The sequence below is a fragment of the Homo sapiens genome, chromosome 4 (assembly GCF_000001405.40).
Source record: "Homo sapiens chromosome 4, GRCh38.p14 Primary Assembly".
In the NCBI taxonomy this organism is placed as follows: domain Eukaryota; kingdom Metazoa; phylum Chordata; class Mammalia; order Primates; family Hominidae; genus Homo; species Homo sapiens.
This window is the reverse complement of record NC_000004.12, coordinates 142125448-142147801: the sequence shown is the minus strand read 5'-3', so window position 1 is coordinate 142147801 and position 22354 is coordinate 142125448. Positions and strand designations below refer to the sequence as shown.

Here is a 22354-nt window from a genome sequence, read left to right as displayed (position 1 = left end):
TTAGAGGTAAAGTGCTTTCAATTCTTAGTGGAAAGATCTGACTTTAGGGGAAAGATTGTTATAATCGCTTGTGGTTAATAGAGTACTTCCTACTCAAGGTTACAGTGTGAGGGGAAAGCTTGATTTACTTAGGAAAGCCAGTAAGTTTTGGATGTGATTTTGCCAAATAGTAATAATTTCAACAAGTGCCTTCTTAGAAAACACAGCATTTGGCTCCCATTGCAGCTTGGTGAGGTAGTTAGAGCAAGAATTATCATTCCAACTGAGACAACTGGGCTTCCCCAGGGAGGAAGTACTTTTCTCAGTGTCTCCTAGGTAGCATGTCACATAAGGATCCAAAATTACCTGTGCTAACTTTGAATGTTCTGCTTTTCTTTAAAACCCTATTATTCCTCAGCTAAAGTAGGCATGTCTGTGCACTCCGTCTTTACAACATAGCCATCACATAATCTAAATTCAACTTTAGTTTCTATTCCTTGATTTATCCTTTCCAAAATTAATTTATATGTTTATGAAGTAGCAAAATTAGCTTTGGCAAAAAAAGTACATTTGAGAAAAAATGTACAATCCACTAAGGAAATACTCTAATTTAGTACTATCTTTACATTAAGTGGTACTCCAGGTTCCTGGGATAGCTCTATTATAGAGAAAGCACCCACTGAAAGGTTGTTCTGTGGTGTGATGCAGGGAAAACACCATAAATCTATCTGGGTATTATGCCTGGAGAGAGAAATTAGGAGTCAATGCTAGATGATGTAGGAAGAGAAGCACGAAGGAAGTGAGGAATGGCAGTCGTCTATTGTGATATCTGTATTCAAAATAGTATTTAAACAATTAATAGCAATTTTGTGAATCAAAGAATTAAGTTGCATGCATTACCTTAAGCAAAAATGGCTACTAATGAGAACTGGGAAGATTAGTGGCAAAGAGGCCCGTTAGTGGTACAGGCTGCTTCTTGGGAAATAAATCACTCAAAATGACTTATTATGTAGCTCTAGTGTATAATATTAAGTAGAGGTTCTAAGACAGTATGGTCAGAAGTATCTGAGCAATTTGTCAAAATTTCAATTTATTGTGCCTTCCTCCCAGGGTTTCTGATTCAGTTGGTGGGACCCAGGGATCTGCATACTAATTTTCTGGGCTGTTCTGTTAGAAGTGGTCTAAAGACCATACTTCCAGAATTTCTAGTACCTAGAATAGTCAAATTCACAGGGACAGAAAGCAAAATGTGGTTGCCAAGGGCTGGAAGAGGAAGGAATGTGAAATTCATGTGTGTAAGGGGTGCAGAGTTTCAGTCTAGGAAGATGAAAAAGTTCTGAAAGTGGATGCTAGTAATGGGTGTATGACAATGTGAATATACTTAATGCTACTGAAATATATATATATGTATATATAACCAAAAATACTCCAAGAATTTCTCACACAACAGGAGGCCATTCTTTAAAAATGTTGGTGTGTGTTTGCTTTCATAATAAGTGTTGATAAAGAGAATAGATGCCTTCAATTTAAAATATCATAATTTGTGCTCAATTATGGATTAATATTGTATGATGGTCATCATTTCTTTATGACAGTGAAAATAATGGACTAAATAAAAAGGTTTATAATACTTCATTTTTGCTTCATTAAGAGAACATAGATTCATTATATATCCATAGTCTGACCAAATTAATGGGAATTTAGAGCTACTCAATCTGCATTCTAATGACTACCCTTCCAAATGCTTCTCTAAAATAGATTTATCCGACTTTGCCTTATCTTGTTTTTGTGACAAAAATATGTAGTGATACTCATGCTTTTTTCAGGACAGGGTGTGGGCCAATGTGGGGAAGAGCCTGAACTGCATTATTGCTATGGTGGACAAACTGATTGAAAGAGATGGTGGCAGTGAAGGCAGTGGCGGCAACAATGATGGAGAAAAGGAACCTTCATTAACAGATGCCATTCCCTCTCACCCAAGAGGTAAGAAATAATTTTTTTTCCCAATCATTTACTGAGTAAACAAAATGAGAAACTCGTGAAAAAAAAATGATATAGAAGAAGAGGAGTCAATAGTATCTTTGATGAGAGTGCTGATAGCATGCTTTTCCACTGCTCTGGCTTGGATGATGGAAGGCTATTTATCAAATTGCATCTCAGTTGTGTTTTCGGAACTGCTAGCAATGTTCTTTTTTTTTTCTTATCTTACCACATAAAAACCTTGAAAAAAGAACAGTGTTTTAAGGCTCTGACATAGTTTAACCTACCTTTACACATTCCTCCAAAATTTTATTAGAAAGATAAATAAGCATCTGCACTTAACTCTTAGAAACATAGGGGCATATCAAGGACACAGTATCTCACAGTGGTTTCTTAACAGAATGTAATCAGATAGGATGATTTTTGCATTTTATTCTGAGAAATATTTGTGTAAATTATCTCCAAAACATATGGGAAGATTTGATTATAAGGAATATGTTAGCATATTGCTCTAAAAAAATATATGACAAGTCTAGATTTTTGTGAAACCATGCACACATGTGTATACATGTGAGTGCATGTGTTTTTCTGTGGAGAGATAGGTGGGTAGGTAGGCAGATAGGAAGGCAGATACTTTCAAATGTATACCTTATTACAAGGTTGGCTAGAAAATACAAACAAAATTTTAACTACAGATGTGTCCCTGTAAATGGCTTTGAAATTTTCTTTTTGTTGATTTGATTAATGTTTGATTAATATTGACACAAAAACCAAGGCAAATGTCTACATCTCTTTACGGCAGTAGGAACTGCTGTTAGGGTTGAGTCAGACTTTTTTGCTGGGTACTTTAAGTGTTTGGAGAGAATAAGCAATACTACCCTACTCTCTTCTGCTGAAATCTGTTCTTTCTTTTACTTTAAAAAAAAAGAGTCATAAGAAAATACAAACATTTATAAAATTAGATTTATGTTTCCTCAATTTGTTTTCCTAATTTTTCATTACTCACATTTTTATCAGGAGTTTAATTATATAAAACATCAATCTTTCATCACTTGATTAACAGTAGAACCATTTCTAAATTATATTTGTAAGCTATGGCTTTCTAAAGTATTCTTGTTGTAGATGGTCCCTCTTCCTCTGTCATACATTCATATAGGCAAAACATTTATGCTAATGTTCTTTATGTTCACACTTACTTGATCTAACTGTATGTAGGGATTTTCTTTTTTAACAATACCAGTTTTTATTAGTTAATGAATCTTGTCTAGCTTCATAACTTTACATGAATCAAAATGAAAGCTTGTCATAGCTATGTCATGAAGAAATAGCATACTTCAATTTTCTTTAATTGAACAAATATTGATTATCAAGTATGGGCCAGACACTGCTGTCCTCTAGAAAATGAGGTAAGAAGAATTCATTTTAGTGACTATGTCCATTGATAGATTTTTTCAAGGCATATTATTTTTTAGCAGAAATAAGATAAGGGACACTGGATTTTGTTATATTTTTTGTTTAATGTTGCCAAAACTTCTCACTGAAGACAATAACATTCCAAAATATTTGAAATTATACAGTGTGTGTGTGTGTGTGTGTGTGTGTGTGTGTGTGTGTGTGTGTATCTTGTATTTCATCAGAAGACTGCATCTGGGCATTCAAAATGCATTTTAAAAGGTAAAATATTTGGCAGATAAATCAGCCGTAAGATTAGATGAATCATTTTTATTTGAATATGAGACATTGTGTACATATAGTCTAAAACCAAGTAGAAGTTGCTGCAGAAGTAGAATTCACAGCTAGATCAATGTTGTGGATGGTTAGAGTCAAACTACAACATATTGCCCTCTAATTTATTTTCTTATTTTATTATCTATGTTTATTTCACTCATCACCAATTCTTTCTTGTGTTAGAATTTTTTTAAGAGAAGTCACTATTTAAATGTGTGAAATATGTTACTTTTGTCTGAATATTTCCTCATAACCATTCTCCAGAACGCGTATTATAATGACTGTAAACGAATTCATCAAAATAGAAGCCATTATTTTAGATTTTTAAGTACTATCATAGTGCTGTAATTAACATATAAGCATCTTTGATTCTGTAAGTCTTTAACTAAATTTTATTTCCCCATAAGTTAGATTGTCAGAACTGGAATTATTTTGTAAGGAAGAGTTGCCCCCTCTCTCCTATGTATTTATTTATCCATTTTTTATATCAATGTGGACTCATGAATACTTATTTTATTTTTAACTTAAATTTTAATTATATTTGACACATAATAATTGTACATTTTTATGGGGTTCACCGTGATGTCTCAATGCATGTGTATGTGTGGGTGAACGGAAAGCTTCTCCTTTTGCCCTCTGAAAAGTTATTGAAAAATTAACTCATAAAAAGGCAGATTCATAAGAGAAAAGGAATATAAATTTATTGCTATCATGTGTAAAGGGAGAATCACACTGTGATTACCTAATATCTCAGTACAGATGCTTATATACCCTACATTTTAGGGGAAAGGGAGAGGAGAGGTAGTGTGGATGATTTTAGGAAGATAGTAAATAGTTTTTAGGATAATTTAATGGGCTTGAAGAACATACAGTTGTCTGTTGGGCCTGTTGGTTTGTGACAAAAATATGTCCAGGTTTGTTGACGACTTTTGTCTTCCTCCTGGGATATGGGTTCAGTTAGTAAAAAACCAAGGAGTGGATCACAGGTAATTGTTTTTTGGTGTTTTGCTTGTTTGTTTTTGAAGATCTGGAGTTTAGGCAGTTAAGGAAACTTCAGCCTGTGCTTTTGAAGAGGTAGAAGATTGAGAGACATGGGGCCGAGGCAGAGAAGAAACAACTCTTCTCCTTCATAGGTCTGCCCTGTCTTTATATGGATAGGGAAAAGTCTGTTCTACCATCTGTTGATCTCTAAGGGCCTGTAATTCAAAATATTCATTATATCAGGGAGCCATATTTTGGGGTAAAACTCCATGTGGTGCTTTATTCACATAATGACAACATCAGAGTAATTACCATATTCATCACTTTAAACGTTTATCATTCCTTGTGGTGACAACATTCAAAATCTTTTCTTCCTTGTTTGAATACTTATTTTATTATTTGGTTAAGAATCCAATACTAATATTATTTATTTTGGACTCAAGTTGTTCTCTCTTATTCAGATTGATTTCTGTGTCCTTCTGATGACATCCTCCCATATGTTGTTTACTCCCTTACTTTCTTATTTCCCTTACTCATTTTCTTACTTGTTTTACTCACTGACTTCCTCTTTGGCACCATAAGAAGCTCTAGGCTCATCTTATATTTTCCCTACCCCAGCTCCAGGTTCAGCCAATTTCTAAAGAAACCTGGTTTCATTTTATTGGAGAACAGCATTTAGAAATCAACATCTGGATGGATAGAAACATTTTCATGGTTCTCTATAACAAAAGACACTCTAACTAACAGGATCTAAAAGCAACCTTCTGATTACAATCTTTTCAGCCTTAAATATTTTCACTTATTTCCTGCCACTTTGGGTGAAAATATCATATTGTAATTTCTTGTTTCTGTGAAGTTTGACATTGTATAACATGTTACTATATTCCAAAATATTATTTTTGATAATAAAATGTATTTCTTCAATAGTCCCAAATTTATCCCAGCCCAAGCCATTTTGCTCCTTTCTTTTTTACAATTAATTAGTGAATTGATTAGGCAAGCAATTTGAGACATATAGTATTTATTACAATGTATGATATGATAAATACTGATAAGCATTTGTTGCAGCATCATTTGTTAGTGATGTTATTCTTCATGTTGTATTACTTCTGGTTTTTTGTTTATTAGATTCTGTATCTATTTTAAATCAAATTCTGGAATTTTGTTTTATTTCATAGGGTTTTGATTATTGTGATTTATGTTGGGATACATTTCTAAATTTGGAGTAAATCAATCCTATGACAGTTTTTCTTTTTCATCACACTCCTTTATTTTTACATTGTAGCTATAATTTGTGTTTGTTTTGCTGCTGTATACTTAACATGGCTAAACAGATGGTCATCTGGGTTGTGCTACTTTTATCCACTTTCTTATGTTGTTCTTTAACCTACAGCTATTTCTCTTTTCAAGTTGCAAATTTTCCTTTTAGTAATATTTTAAATCTGTAGTTTTGAAGGTTTTCTGTTTGTTTGAGAACCAAGGTTTTACAGTATATCTTTGGCTTGCTTTATAAATTTCTTTTTAGGGTAAATGCAGATAGTGCTGAGAGACATAAAACTTTCTGTGCTGTTCTGAAGAGAAATAATAGAATAACTATTCCAAAGTTCTACAGTTTATATATATTTATGTGGTTTCCTAATGAATGAAGATTGTCCTTTTATTTGTAGTACACTCAAATACCTTTCTAAGCATCTGCTGTCTGTATAGCACTACATGCCTTCAGTTTCATAAACTGCTGACTCAAAGATAAAATCAGTGAATATTAGAACCTTAGATTTTGACGTCATCTTAAAGATTATGTAATTAAACCTCCTAAAATATGTTAAGAAGCTTATCTACAATATCTCTGCCGGTTTTCAACTAGCCTATGAGGCACATCTTCAGTTATAGAAAACTCTTTTTATCTTCTAGAGCAACATACTCCAGACCTTGATCCTAATATGTTTTCTTTCATTGTACCCACTGGTCCAGATATAATCCTTTGCAATAAAAAACAAATTTACTTTTCTTTCTTTACATTAAGCCTAAGGTGTATCTGAAAGCAACCCTCATGTCCCTTTTGAATTGTCACCTTTTCAATCATTTTTCAAAGGAATAGCTTCAAGCATATCCAAGAGTTTGCATTTCTCTGAACATCTTCTAGTTTGTCTCAGCAGTCTGCAGAATTAAGCGCAGCGATACAAATACAGTTAATAGCTGCAGAGTAACCCAGGAGGACCACCTCCCTACTTTTAGGTACTATTCTAATATAATGATATCTAAGCTGGCATTCACTGTTTTGACACTCACATTTTACAACTAATTCTACTGATATCCATAAACCTTGCTAAATTTGACCTATCCTTCAGGCTTCTAAAGATTCAAGTAACATTTAAGCACCACTATATACTAGACATTATGAAATATTGGGGGCATGAGAAGATTAAAACAATCTATCCCAATTTTACTGAAGAGATGGATGTCTAAACCCATGACTGACTAGTATAAAATGCCTTTGAGTACACTCTAATAAATACCTGTTTCTTTCATCCTTCATATCTACTGACCTACTCAGGATGATTTTATTCACATTTTATATGCATTTTCTGTCCATTCCTAGAAGTAACAGATAAAAATGATTAGAAAACAGAGCTACATAGAGATTCTTAAGGCACATCACTAAAAGGAACAGTATGCATTCAAATACGCTGGTTAATCACTACCCTTTGGGGATGTGTGTTCAACCAGCTCTATGTTCACCCATTCATATCATTGCATGGCCTATATTTCTCCATCTTTCACAAGTATGTCATGAAATGCCCTGTAAAAGGCCAAATATCCTATGCCATTGAATTATTTTTCCTAATCTATCCAGCTGTAAATCCTGTCAAAGATAAAGTTCCTCTGAAATTATTTTCACTAATGAGGCCACATAGGCTTCGAGTCATCACTGCTTCTTTCAAAGGCAGTAAACCTCCATGTAGATCATCGAATTAGTCCACATATCATTGCTTAGAATTTGTTTCTAGTTTCTTGGTACTCATGTCCTTTTTTGCTTGAAAGTTTCCTTTTAACTTGTAAGGCACATTCCACATTTCCTCCTGGGATCTGATAATTCACTATATTTACCTTATATTTTACTTTATCTCTGTCTGCCTTCAGTTAACACAATCATCTGGGCCAGTTGCTGTGGCTCACACTTGTAATCCAAGCACTTTGGAAGCCCAGGTGGGTGGATCACTGGAAGCCAAGAGTTTGAGACCAACCTGGGCAGCATGGTGAGAGCCCATCTGTATACAAAAAGTAAACAAGCAAACAAACCGACAAACGCACAGCTGTCTGCTGGTAACTACTAGAGGTTTGCCAGTGATTTGTCACCAGTTATCAATGTCTTGCTGGTGCCAAAGATTTTTCATCCTAAAAGTGCACCCCAACCTTCAAATAGGAACACATATAAGGCTGTAGTGAATTGCTCCTCTTTCCCATCTTTTGTCTTTGGTTCCCTAGATTAGCTATCTATCTAATACACTTAAAATAATTAAAGACTGGGCCGGGCAGGGTGGCTCACGACTGTAATCCCAGCACTTTGGGAGGCTGAGGCAGGTGGATCACTTGAGATCAGGAGTTCAAGACCAGCCTGGCCAACATGGGGAAACCCCATCTCTATTAAAAATACAAAAATTAACTGAACATGGTAGCACGCGCCTGTAGTCCCAGCTACTCGGGAGGCTGAGGCTAGAGAATCACTTGAACCTGGGAGGTGGAGGTTGCAGTGAGCTGAGATTGTGCCATTGCACTCCAGGCTGGGTGACAGTGAGACTCTATCTCTAAAATAATAATAATAATAATAATTAAAGACTAGAACAACTCACAAATTAATGCAATTATATATAAAATAGTTCAGGCATTAAGCCTCATGGAAAGACACTAAATTTGTATTGGTTGGAAAAGAAAGAAGAAAATTCTTTCATTCATTCCATATTTGTTGAGTACTTACCCTGTTCCAGTCACTGTATCCAGGAACACGTTCAGTCATGGCCCTGTCCTTACAGTCTAGTACATGAGTAAGTTCTATTTGAAGGGATATACCTAGTGAGAGATCTTCCAAAGGCATCACTTACAAGATAAAAGACTTAGGAAAGGAAGTAAACATTTGGGAGGCATTAGCAGATAGATTAAACTGGATAAAATGTAAAGAGAAAGAAGAAGAAAAGATGAGCAAAATCTTTATTGGCCTTGAGGCATGAGGATTACTCTCAGATGAGGTGTCAGAAGTATCAAGGAATGAAAATCAAATGCAGTTTGGAGACCAAACGAGGTATCAAAGGAGGGGTAATAATCACATTAATAGCTGACACTTAGTACACTCACATTTATGTGACAAGTACTTTGATGAACTTTTACATTCTTTCCTCTCTTCCTTTTCACAACAAGCCTGTAGGGGAGTTTCTGGTTCTGTCCCCATTTCATAGATGAAGGGGTTAAGTAATTTGCCTAAGATCACAGAGCTAGTGGGCATCCAAGCAAGGATTCAAATTCAAGCACAGTGATCTCTATCTGAGATCCTCAGAATATCTGTTGGAAAAAGGAATGATTAATTTTTTTTAATTTTATTATTATTATACTCTAAGTTTTAGGGTACATGTGCACAACGTGGAGGTTAGTTACATATGTATACATGTGCCATGCTGGTGTGCTGCACCCATTAACTCATCATTTAGCATTAGGTATATCTCCTAATGCTATCCCTCCCCCCTCCCCCCACCCCACAACAGTCCCCAGAGTGTGATGTTCCCCTTCCTGTGTCCATGTGTTCTCATTGTTCAATTCCCACCTATGAGTGAGAACATGCGGTGTTTGGTTTTTTGTCCTTGTGATAGTTTACTGAGAATGATGATTTCCAGTTTCATCCATGTCCCTACAAAGGACATGAACTCATCATTTTTTATGGCTGCATAGTATCCCATGGTGTATATGTGCCACATTTTCTTAATCCAGTCTATCATTGTTGGACATTTGGGTTGGTTCCAAGTCTTTGCTATTGTGAATAGTGCCGCAATAAACATACGTGTGCATGTGTCTTTATAGCAGCATGATTTATAGTCCTTTGAGTATATACCCAGTAATGGGATGGCTGGGTCAAATGGTATTTCCAGTTCTAGATCCCTGAGGAATCGCCACTCTGACTTCCACAATGGTTGAACTAGTTTACAGTCCCACCAACAGTGTATAAGTGTTCCTATTTCTCCACATCCTCTCCAGCACCTGTTGTTTCCTGACTTTTTAATGATTGCCATTCTAACTGGTGTGAGATGATATCTCATTGTGGTTTTGATTTGCATTTCTCTAATGGCCAGTGATGGTGAGCATTTTTTCATGTGTTTTTTGGCTGCATAAATGTCTTCTTTTGAGAAGTGTCTGTTCATATCCTTTGCCCACTTTTTGATGGGGTTGTTTGTTTTTTTCTTGTAAATTTGTTTGAGTTCATTGTAGATTCTGGATATTAGCCCTTTGTCAGATGAGTAGGTTGCGAAAATTTTCTCCCATTTTGTAGGTTGCCTGTTCACTCTGATGGTAGTTTCTTTTGCTGTGCAGAAGCTCTTTAGTTTAATTAGATCCCATTTGTCAATTTTAGCTTTTGTTGCCATTGCTTTTGGTGTTTTAGACATGAAGTCCTTGCCCATGCCTATGTCCTGAATGGTAATGCCTAGGTTTTCTTCTAGGGTTTTTATGGTTTTAGGTCTAACGTTTAAGTCTTTAATCCATCTTGAATTGATTTTTGTATAAGGTGTAAGGAAGGGATCCAGTTTCAGCTTTCTACATATGGCTAGCCAGTTTTCCCAGCACCATTTATTAAATAGGGAATCCTTTCCCCATTGCTTGTTTTTCTCAGGTTTGTCAAAGATCAGATAGTTGTAGATATGCGGTGTTATTTCTGAGGGCTCTGTTCTGTTCCATTGATCTATATCTATGTTTTGGTACCAGTATCATGCTGTTTTGGTCACTGTAGCCTTGTAGTATAGTTTGAAGTCAGGTAGCATGATGCCTCCAGCTTTGTTCTTTTGGCTTAGGATTGACTTGACGATGCGAGCTCTTTTTTGGTTCCATATGAACTTTAAAGTAGTTTTTTCCAATTCTATGAAGAAACTCATTGGTATCTTGATGGGGATGGCATTGAATCTGTAAATTACCTTGGGCAGTATGGCCATTTTCACGATATTGATTCTTCCTGCCCATGAGTATGGAATGTTCTTCCATTTCTTTGTAAGGGATGATTAAATTTTAACAGCGGTTTTGTATATAGATTTACCTGCCTTTAGGTTTGTCCTTGATATCTTAATGAACTGTTTCTCAGATAGTCATAACTTATACTTCACTTGTTTGCCAAGCTTTCTCCCTCTTTTACAAGGTCCTAAATTCCCTTACCACCACCTGCCTCTTCAAGACACTTTCTCCCTTTTTTACAGGCCCTACATTTCTTTACCCCTACCTGCCACTTCAAGGCACTTTGACATCTCCTTCCACCTCACCCTGCCTCATCCTCCATGATCCAGTCATATTAAACTCTTCTGAGAACTCACCTGGTGCTTTTCATTCCTGAGCTTTCAAAGCTTTCCCCATGCCCAAACTTCACATCATCTGGGGTGCCTTCCCTGGTCATCCAGGCTAAGGCTGTGAGTGTGAGACCAATGTGGTCACACACGGCCTCTCACTCAGCAGAGCCCTGTGCTCTGAGATTAATGCTCTGAGTTGCCATCCTGAAATTCCAAATAACTTTATCTTTGCATTTGTGTTTTGTCAGTGAAGTCCAATAGGGTGATGAAGCCTGTACCCGGGCCTTGGAGGCTTGCCTCACTTGCAGTTCTGCAGGGTTCTCCAGTGCCTGCCCGACCTTCCATCTTCACGCCAGCCCAATGATCACTTCCCACCCCCACCTACCAACATGCCTGGGTGCCAGTGCCGAAGAGCCAGGGTGAGGCTGACTGCCTTTGAGGCTCTGTACTCACGTAGCCCCACATCCAAGGGAGTATGGCAAAAAAGAGTAAATAAAAAGCACCCTCCGGGCACGGTGGCTCACACCTGTAATCCCAGCACTTTGGGAGGCCAAGGTAGGTGGATCACAAGGTCAGGAGATCGAGACCATCCTGGCTAACACGGTGAAACCCCGTCTCTACTAAAAAATACTAAAAATTAGCCAGGCATGGTGGCAGGCACCTGTAGTCCCAGATACTCAGGAGGCTGAGGCAGGAGAATGGCGTGAACCTGGGCGGGGGAGCTAGCAGTGAGCGGAGATCGCACCACTGCACTCCAGCCTGGGCGACAGAGCAAGACTCTGTCTCAAACAAACAAACATTAAAAAAATAAACAAACAAACAAACAAAAAACACCCTGACAGGTCTGGAGCAACACCACTGAAGGAAAAAGGAAAAAATCTCATTTACTGCTTTTTGAATAGGTCCTCCTGTTTTTATTTTTTACTGGATTCTGTCATTTACGTTGTCACACTTTCTGCAAGGCTTGCAATGACAAGGGCCCATAGGCATCATATGAAGTAATATGAATGAATCAAGCGAAGTGGACAGAAGCCAGAGCAAAGTAGAGAGTATATGTTCCTCCAAAAGGGGGTCACTGCTCCAGCCCCAGCCAGTCATTTCCATGGAGAACATGGACCTAAAGTTGTCATCCCTTCTGATTTTTCAAATAAATCTGAATGTTTATATAAAATATCTCACTTTTTTTTAAGGTTAAAAATTGCTAAAATGTGATAAATTCCACATAAAATTTGTAGGCCATATAAGACTGGTCTATAGGCCACTATTTTGAAACCTTTGAATCTCTGATTTATTGCACATGCCATCTTAAATGTCATTTCCCCTGTTAGACTTGGCTCTGTAAGAAAATATGCCAAGTGTTTGTGATTTGTTCTTGAATCTCCAGAACCTAACATAATTCGTAGCAAATAATAGAGGCCCAATATTGTGGAATGAAGGCCTAGTCATATGGATCTACCATTGCTGTTGACACTTTTGAGGTTTTCTTGATATTAATAAGTGAATATTGTTCAACATTTATGCAAAAATACTAATATTCTCAGAATTTATATTCAACATTAGACAATTATTTCAGTGGTTTTAATAGTTATAACAAGTCTTTTATTTTATAAAATACAAACATACAACATACAAGTACCAAAGAATCTTTTTCACTAGAGGGCTTAAATATTAATATTTTGAAATTCATAAATTCCTACATATGAATATTGAGAATTTCATTGGAAAAAGATCAATGAATGAAGCTTTAAAAAGTTAATAGTTCTCCAGCTAAAACAACTTTTTTTTTTTTTTTTTTTTTTTTTTGAGACAGAGTTTCGCTCTTGTTGCCCAGGCTGGAATGCAATGGTGTGATCTCAGCTCACCACAACCTCCGTCCCCCAGGTTCAAGTGATTCTCCCACCTCAGCCTCCCAACCAGCTGGGATTACAGGCATGCGCCACTATGCCCAACTAATTTTTTGCATTTTTAGTAGAGATGGGGTTTCTCCATGTTGTTCAGGCTGATCTCGAACTCCCGACCTCAGGTGATCTGCCCGCCTTGGCCTCCCAACTAGAGTATACTTACAAATTTTTTTAAAACTTAAATAATCAAAATATGCCATGTAAAGTACATTTTTATTGTAAGCCTAGAATTTCAATAACATTTTTGAATTATGACATTTTAAAATATCTGTTCTTACCAGAAAACTAATGCTGTTTTCCTTAAAAATTGTACAATGAATTATGAAGTAACAGAGTAACATGGGACTCAGAGCCAGGATCTTGGCAAGTCCACAGTTTGGTACTTATTTGGCTTCATGGCCTTTGTCAAGCCATTTACATTCTCTGCGTCTCACATCCTGTTTTGGTAAAATAATGTACAAAGTTTTAAGGTCTCTTCCAGTTCCAAAGTTTTATGGTAATAAAAAGGATGCCACGTTTTTAAAGGTGATATTAATTTTTTTCAGTCATTCAACATATTTTAATTATCTACTATGTGCTAGGCACTGTTTTAGACCCTGAGGACTACAAAAATAAACAGAAAAGATAAAACACTGGCTCTCCTGAAGTTTATGCTCTAGTAGCAAAGAGACAATAAAAAGTAACACAAGAAATAGGGCCATTGCATGGTATAGTAATGGTGACAGAGGCTGTAGAAAAAAATATAGAGCAACGTAAAAGGGTTTTGATGTAATGTTGTAGGGTAGAGATTGCAGTTTAGTGGAGTAGGCGATGTAGGTCTCATTTAAAAGCTGATGCTTGAACTTGTCTCAAAAGACACAGGAGGTGAGACAGTGAGCCATGTGACTATCTAGGGAAAGGATATATTGGTCATAGAAAATAGCTATTACAGCAGCCTTGAAGCATAAATGTCCCTACCATATTCAGGAAACAACAAGGAAGCCAGTTTGGATCAAATAAGGATAATGATGGTAGGAGAGTAGAAGGTGACATTAAACAGGTAACTTAGGGGAAGGATCATGTAGAGGCTTTGTGTAAATGTTGTTTTTACTCTGAGAAAAATGGGGAGCAATTAGAGAGTTTTGAACAAGAGGATTAACCTGATTTGACTTAGATATTAACACCTAGGCTGTTGTGTTGAGATTAGACTATACATGAAGAGGGTAAAACCAGATATAGGCAGTTAGAACATGAATACAGTTGTCAAGGTGAGGCATGATGAGCTTGGACGAAGAAGAAGACAAGTGGAGGTGATGAAAAGTAGTGAGATTCTGTACCTATTTTTAGGGTAAGACATTTGAAATGTTAAATTCGACATGGAGATATCAAGTTTGCAGTTACATATAAGAATAGAGTTCAGGAGACATATTCAGGCTAAAGACATTAATTTGGAAATTGTTATTATGTAGATGGTACTTAAAGACACGAGACTGAATAATAACAGCAGGGATTGAGTGTACAGAGAAAGGGGAAATAACCTATAGATTATATATACTTGAGGACATTTCAGTGTTGATATGTCAGAAATAAGTGAAGGAACCAGCAACAAAGTTGGGCAAGAGACGGCCAGTGAGGTAGGAGGAATACAAAGAGAATATGCTATCCTGAAAGCCGGGGTTAGAAAATAGGTCAAATAAAATGAGGACTAAGAGATGGCTTTGGATTTAGCAGTACGGATGTCTTTGATGACGAGAGTAGCCTTACTAGAGTGGGTAGGAATTAAGTAGAGTGGGTTAAAAGAAAGAGGAAGTAAAGGAAGTAGAGACAACCTGTATAGACAACTCTTTTGAGAACTTTCATTGTGAAAGGAAATGGAGAAATAAAGTATAGGAGCTGTAAAGGGAATTAGGGTCAAAACAGTGATATTTGTTTCAAGATGAGGAGATAATAGCATGTTTGTTTTCTGACAAGAATGATCCAGTTAAAAAGGAAATATTGATAATGTGGGAGGAAGGGAGAGAATTGCTAGAGTGACACTCTTAAGTAGGTGAGAGAGGATGAGATCTGGTGTACCAACAGAGGAGATGGTCTGAGCTAGACAACAGTTCATCCTCAGAAATAGGACAGAAGGAAGAGCATAAAGAATCAATGCTGGTAGGAGGGCGAGTGCAAAGTATCATGTAGAAATTACTTTGTTTATTTGAATTGTTTTAACATAGAAGCTCATATTTATGGATTACTTGATATGTGGTAAAAAAAAATATTGACTGCGTTAACTCATTTAATTCTTACAACACTGTAGAATTAATTCTACAAAATTAAAGGATGAAGAAGTAGAGAGTTGTAGTGACCTGTGCACAGCCTGGGTTCTAACCCTGGTGGTCTGGCTCCAGAGCCTGCCCTCTTAGAGTCTATGATGCATTGCCTCTGCTCTCTCCAAGAAAAAAAAAAACCTTCTCCAATCTTATTCTCTACAAACATATTCACTAGCACCCTTTTAACAAAATGTTGAGTTGTTTCAGGCACAAACTTGTGATGCTATATGATAACTTCATGAAAATCAGTCCCTTAGGTATATCTTAAAGGCTCACTGTGGAATCATATGCAGAAATTAAGAATTCATAATTACATCGAAAAATTACTTAACTTTCTCATAAATATGGTGATGTTCACACCCACAGAGAAACCGAGATAGAGGAAAAGGGAGATGATAGCTCTCATCCAGGAACTTTAGGGCATGTAATATTTTTGTTTTTTTTTTTTTGGAAACAAAGTTTCACTCTTGTTGCCCAGGCTGGAGTGCAATGGTGCAATCTTGGCTCACTGCAACCTCCACCTCCCGGGTTCAAGCAATTCTCCTGCCTCAGCCTCCTGAGTAGCTGGGATTATAGGCATGCGCCACCATGCCCATCTAATTTTGTATTTTCAGTAGAGACGGGGTTTCTCCACATTGGTCAGGCTGGTCTCGAACTCCCACCCTCAGGTGATCCGCCTGCCTTGGCCTCCCAAAGTGCTGGGATTACAGGCATGAGCCACCACGCTCGGCTGTAGGGCATGTGATTATTGAATGAAATGGCCTAAGAAATGTACTGTTTACATTGTTTGGTTACTTGACTGCTTACTCAGCATTTATAAGTTAAATCTATGGACGTGAGGCCCTATTGTGTTTGCAGAATTTTGTTTTTAAACTGGTGCAACTACACATTTCATGCATATAGCAAAATTGCACTTGTATAAACTTATGCTCCAAAAAATTGATGTACTATATTCCATGGTCTTGAACATTACTGGGAAACTTCTATATTCACCTAGTTTACTTCACCTACATTCACCTAGTAAAAATGTTGCACCTCTTCACTTCTCTGATTGCCTGTACTCTGATAAGGATTCAGTCAACTCAGTATCCACTACCTGTCTTCTCAACCTTAGATGCTGGCCAATATTTAAATGACAGGAGCTCACTGATGTAGACATATTGATAATTTCAGGTTGCTCAAAGACCTATGACCTATGCAGCTTATTCTTAAATACCCAGCCTGTTTGAGGGCCAGAATCCTGAGATTACAGTTTATTTAAGGCCAAAAGGCAACAAAATAAGCCCAGTGAATGTGGGTGTGTGACTCCTCCAGTCAACACATAACCTGAATTTAAAACTTTTGTGCTACAACAAATACAAGGCTTGTTTGATTAATGGATTTGGTTCCTGGAAACTGTCTTAGCAGAATTTACTTTAGGCTTTCAATTTTGTGCTACGAAATAAGAAGTTTAACCAGGATATCAGTTGTTGCATTTCCTTTGCTATTTTCCTAAGAGCAAGACTGGAAAGTTTTATGACACTGTGTTCTCAGGCTGGCAGGGTTTAAACAAACAAGGTTCCCTGGACATGAGGGAAGGTTGCCTTTGTTCTTGTCATAGCCATTTGTCTTGGGTTGAGCAGTACAGTTATTTCTCATACATGTGGAAGGTGCTAAGATCAGTCATTTACCTTGGATCATAGTTCAGTGGACATTACACTGATTACATTTTAAGATACATGTTTGTTCTTTATGTGAATGTCCTTAGGGCCTTTGAGGCTGCCCTGAGATAGAGGCAAGGGAAAGTACATTCACATGCTACCTTCCTCTCAGGGTTAATATAAACCTTGTTTCTTCATTCACCCTGTCTGATACACATTGTTTCTGATGTGGCCTTGCTTCTTAGCTCTTGCCCTGTTCACATATCCTCTGCGCCGTCCTTTATCCCCACCCCTATCGACCTCCATTCCCTATCCCTACCATGGTGACTGCCTATACCTAGACTCCCATTGGTTTTATTCCATGGCTTCAGCTTAACATTTACTTCTGTTTTATTCCTGCCTTCTCCAAATCACTGAGTGATCTCAGTCATTTATTTCCTCTCTTCCAGTACCCCCTGTTTCTCCCTTTGGTCAGTTTATGCATCTATTTATTAGATTTGTCATTACAAAACCAAACACTCCTCTCAGTCTCTATTCCTACAAAGCCTCACTGTGGGTGTCTACTACCTGCAGTCCAGGCAGACTTCCCTGGGCACTTTCCACATGTGACTTCCTTTAAGTTTGCAGTAAATGCCACAGCCATGAGTGAACACAGTCTTCTCACCAGAGATGAACTCTCTTGCCTCTAAACTCTCTCTCTTCTAAAACTCGTTTGGTCACTGTCCCAACTTTTGTAGCTGTTATCATACCACCTTATACTGTAGGTATTCCTTTGTACTTCTTACCTTTCCTTCTCAATTTTAGCTCCTTGAAGGAGGGGGCATGAGTTAAAAATATTAGTATCACCCACAGCACCTCACATAGAAGACACTATCTTTGTCCAATGAATGAGTCCATTTCTCATGATGTCATGAAAAAGGAGGGGGGGAGCAATGATATAAGAAAGACACATTAGCATTTATTAAAAGAAGAAAAATAAAAATAGATTTCTCAATTCCTGTATCAGAGACAGGCAGTAGATTATAAAGACAGGAAGAGGGTCAGGAAGGCTTGGTTGGAGAAGGACATTCTGAGTGGCCTGGAAAACATTCGAAGCAGCCAAGTTTCCACAGGTGCTTTTCTTTTCCTGATTACTCTTCTATTGTCTGGAATTAGCCTAGTTTCTAGGCCCTGTGCCCCTAGGATATGTCCAGGTATTTAGAGGCCTCCTATGGGCAGATGTCTAGGGTCTATGACCAAAGTTGGCGACGTGTATTATGCCCATACAAAGGAATTTACCTATAAAGTGTCTGCAGAAGAAACCTTATTATTAGTTGATCCCTTCACATTATTAATGTTCACACTGCAAAATTGTGCCTGAAAGACAAGAACTTCACTCACAGAGGCACATAGGTACCCTTATTTGGGTTGATGTAAGGCATAGGCCCTTCAAAATCAACAAAAATTTTATAAGCAGGAAATAACAAGCCCCCAACCATGAACCGGTCACCATTTCTGTACTACCTGGGGTTCAGGCATAGATGAAAACCCCTACTGGCTGTAAGTTTGGTCTGTGTTCACTTCATGACCTTGGGAATTTTATTGCCCCCCTTAATGGCCATTCTAATTGCTTGGCTTCACAGTTCATCATCTTGTTACCTTAAGAGAATCCTAAGAGCTGGCTCATTTCTTCTGTTATCTCTTTGCATAAAGTTTAATGCATGTGCAATCTTTTTACTTTTCCTTTTTTCTGTGTCTGAAAGGTTGCGATAACGGAAATAACAATAGCTACAAGCTTTTGTGAAGTTAATTATTTTAAATGAGCAAAGAAGACCAAGCACCTGAGAAGAGAATGGCTCAGAAATTGTGAAGAAAGCATGATGCTCTGCTACAGTTGGTTGATATTTGGCTCTTTTATTTTTCTCCTGAGTAACATAAGAGTGATTGAGCTCAGAGGACATGAACATCCTGCACAGGAAATAGATGATGTGTGGAGGAGGTGAGGGGGGCACCCAGCAGCCGTTCTCTGAATCCTTCAGTGAGCTTCCCTTGAATATGCCGGAGAAGCAAGTAGAGGGCTGGAAAACAGAGGCTGTGCTTGGATGGCTCCCAACACACTTCACAAAGCTCAGGAAAAGCTCAGCTAAGCCACATGCATTTTATGTTTTCCCGAGGAAAGATTCTTGTTGGTCTCAGGGTTAAGGAGTCTCAGCAAGTTCTTATAGACACACTAAAACATTCACTTAGTGTTTCCCTCTGTCATGGAAAGGAGCCCAGGGAATAAAATCACACTTAGTGCCTGCGAGGCTAGTTGGCTCAGGGCAGAGATAGTGGGGCAGTGACTATATTGTGGGGCACCCTTAGCTCCCCAGCTTCACTAGGTTTATAAAAAAGGTATGTGTGTGTATGTGTGTGTGTGTGTGTGTGTGTGTGTGTGTGTGTGTATAAAAGTACGAAATCCTGAAATACACACATCCACTCTTCTGAGTTTAGTTTTTTCAAGTTTCAACTAAGATTGTGTGTATGTGTGTGTGCACACACGTATATATATGTGTATATACATACACACACACACACACATATATATATTTATATATGAATGAATACTACCTTCATCTTTATCAGGAGGACCAAATAAACACCATGTAAACTGTAAGGTATAGAGAGACATAAAGGTGAGGGGCAAGTGACAAGTCTGAAAACTGTCAAGAGCTGAAGCTTGGGTTTTTTTTAATTTTCCCCAAAACATATTTTAAAGCAAAAGACTAAAGCATTTATTTTTCCTTTGTGAGAATGATTTGGGATGTTCATTGGAGCAAAAAGGCCATTTATGAACTGACTTTGGCTTTGCTTTGGCCTGTCGTAGCCACTGTGTTTATTTCAGAACCTGAGATTTACACTGACTGCATATTAACAGAGAAGAAAACCTGGAGTCATTGGCATTGGAATTTTCCAGTACAATTTTCCATTATCTGCTCAACTTAAATTGTTTCTTTTCTAGAAAAAAAATGTATTTTTAGCTTTTTCACTTATGTTCCTCCATAGAAGGCTTACTACTATTTTAAAGACATATTACCTTGCTCACAAACTTGTAATTTTCTCATTCATAATTAATGCTTTCCGATATTGTCATTGTCCTGATATTTTAGCCATAAAAAGTATATATAATTATGCAAAATAGAGACACTGGAATATTGTTAGTATCAGAAGTATGTAACACTGTTCCTAGGTTTAGAATGTTGTGTGTTCCTTTTATCCTGGGTTTCCACTTCCAATCTAGTGAAACTGGAAACCAGACTTGTTTTGGTGTTGTTTTTTTTGTCATCTGATTGTAATTTATAATTAAGAATCAACTGGTTAAATAAGTGAAGATGGAAGTGAATAAAGCAACTATCCTTATGCTAATGAGACAATCTGCAAAGTTTTCTCCTTTAAATACTTTTTAGAGAAACAAATATTTAATTAGAATTGTCACTTAATGTCTTGCAAGAAAACAAATGTGGTCACTTAAGTTATTTTTTAAATTTTCTAACTAGAAAAATCATATAAAGTATTGACCAGTTGATTCAGTATAGTACCATGCAAGATGCTTAAACAATAAGTACATGCTGTTTGGGAACTATACAACTGCGTACAAAGTAAAAATCAGTTACTTGAATGCAGTAAGTGCAAAGTAGTTCTGCTTCAGCCTGATTAAGCAGCGCCACCTACTGCACAGAAGATGTATTTTATGTTTGGGAATTCTCTAGTAGAAACAAATCTCTACAGAGCTAAGCACAGAACAAAAGCAGTTTTCAGTCTGTTATCGTTTAAAATTTACATCTGGGTTAATTTATTGAAGTTTTTTCTAGTGTTTCCCTGTGTCTATTAGTCTACCCATTCATATTGAGAACAACAATTAAATAAAGGGAGAGAACAGGAGATAAAAATGCAAATATGAAAAAATAGGAATATAGGATATTCATTCTTGGTATCTATTGATGTATCTCTTATTATGAAAAAAAAGTTCAGTGTACCTCTATTTTCCCTTTTACACATGACAATGACATAAGAATCAACAGTTAACCAATGCTTGTTTAAATTGAACCATTGTTCACATTTTATTCTAGGCTGCCTATAAGTTTGTCCAATATTAAATGATCATGCATTAATAGGGCTCTGTTGCATTCCTCTTTCTTTATGCTTTTTATCCTCATAATAGCATGTACATCTACAATATTTTTAAAATAATTTCTAACATTCTAATGTATTTTACATTATGACATCACATAGGCATTTCATAGAGTATTACTAAGAATGTATCTTTTTATTATGTTGGGGCCATTAATTATCCTTTCAACCCTTTGGGTTTATTTCATCTAGTCTATTATACCACAACATAAAATAAATAAGTGACAGTAGACATGGTACGATAGTGATTGTGATTCTTTTTATTATTCTCTGTCACTCTTTCAAGGTCTTAACTGATTATTTACCACTCACATTACTCACAATGATGCTTGCACTTTTATGATGAGGAGATCATATCATTTCAGTTCCTGCTTTATAATTAATTTCGCAGCATGCACTCATTCATATCAAATCGTATTTGTCACCCATTAATTTATTTATATATTAATGGAATGTCACACGGTCAAGAATTTATGATAGTTAACATTTGCCAGGGCTTTGATCTCCAAATTAACTGAAACAGAACATAAATTGTTTCTATATCATACCAAAGTCATAATTATATAATTGATGCCTGTTAGAAATCTAGACATACAAATAGCACAAATGGTCTCAATTTTGCATCCTCATTTGAAGAACAGCTATTTGAATCCCAAATACTACCCAAAACTTGACTTACTTAAACTTGTCTATATCTTTAAAACTTTTTATATTTATTGTAACTTTTCTCATTCAATTAAAACTTATTGAATATTTACTATATGCTAGGCACTATGCTAGGTTCTAGTGATTCGGTGATTAAAAAATGAATTCCTTGCCCTCAGTGAGTTATCTTTCTTGCAGAGGAAAATGGTGAGTAGTGTGTGAGTAGTACTGGGACAGGAAGATACAGGCACAAAAGGAAGTCAGCTCAACCCAATCTTCATGGAATAGGGAAGTGTAGTAAGGGGGAAATGAAGGAAGACTTCCTGGAGAAGAGAAATCCTGAATTGAGTTTGCAGAAGAGATAAAGCATTTGTCAGGAAGATAAGTAGAAAAAGAGTGTTCCAGGAGAGGAGATAGGATTTTCAAAGACATTGAGATGAGAGAACAAGATAAGTTTAAGGAAATACATGAGGTTCAATTCACCTGAGACTCAAGACAGCAAATAAACTTCTGAAAGATGAGAT

General features: G+C 36.9%; 1 protein-coding gene across 63 annotated transcripts in view; it reads left to right on the top strand.

Annotated features, from left to right (window-relative positions):
• INPP4B (inositol polyphosphate-4-phosphatase type II B) overlaps positions 1-22354 on the top strand; it is an 823376-nt gene that overhangs the window by 698734 nt on the left and 102288 nt on the right. For 60 of the 63 annotated variants that reach the window (NR_169617.1, NR_169615.1, NR_169599.1 and 57 more), the window contains one exon: positions 1806-1962. Coding sequence is in view for 54 of the 63 variants with exons in the window: in NM_003866.3 (NP_003857.2) it covers positions 1806-1962 (157 nt within the window). In the remaining 9 variants the exon portion in view is untranslated. Of the gene's footprint in view, positions 1-1805; positions 1963-18778; positions 21172-22354 lie in introns of those variants that run through there. The other 3 variants (XM_047416368.1, XM_047416367.1, XM_047416366.1) reach the window with 1 other exon arrangement.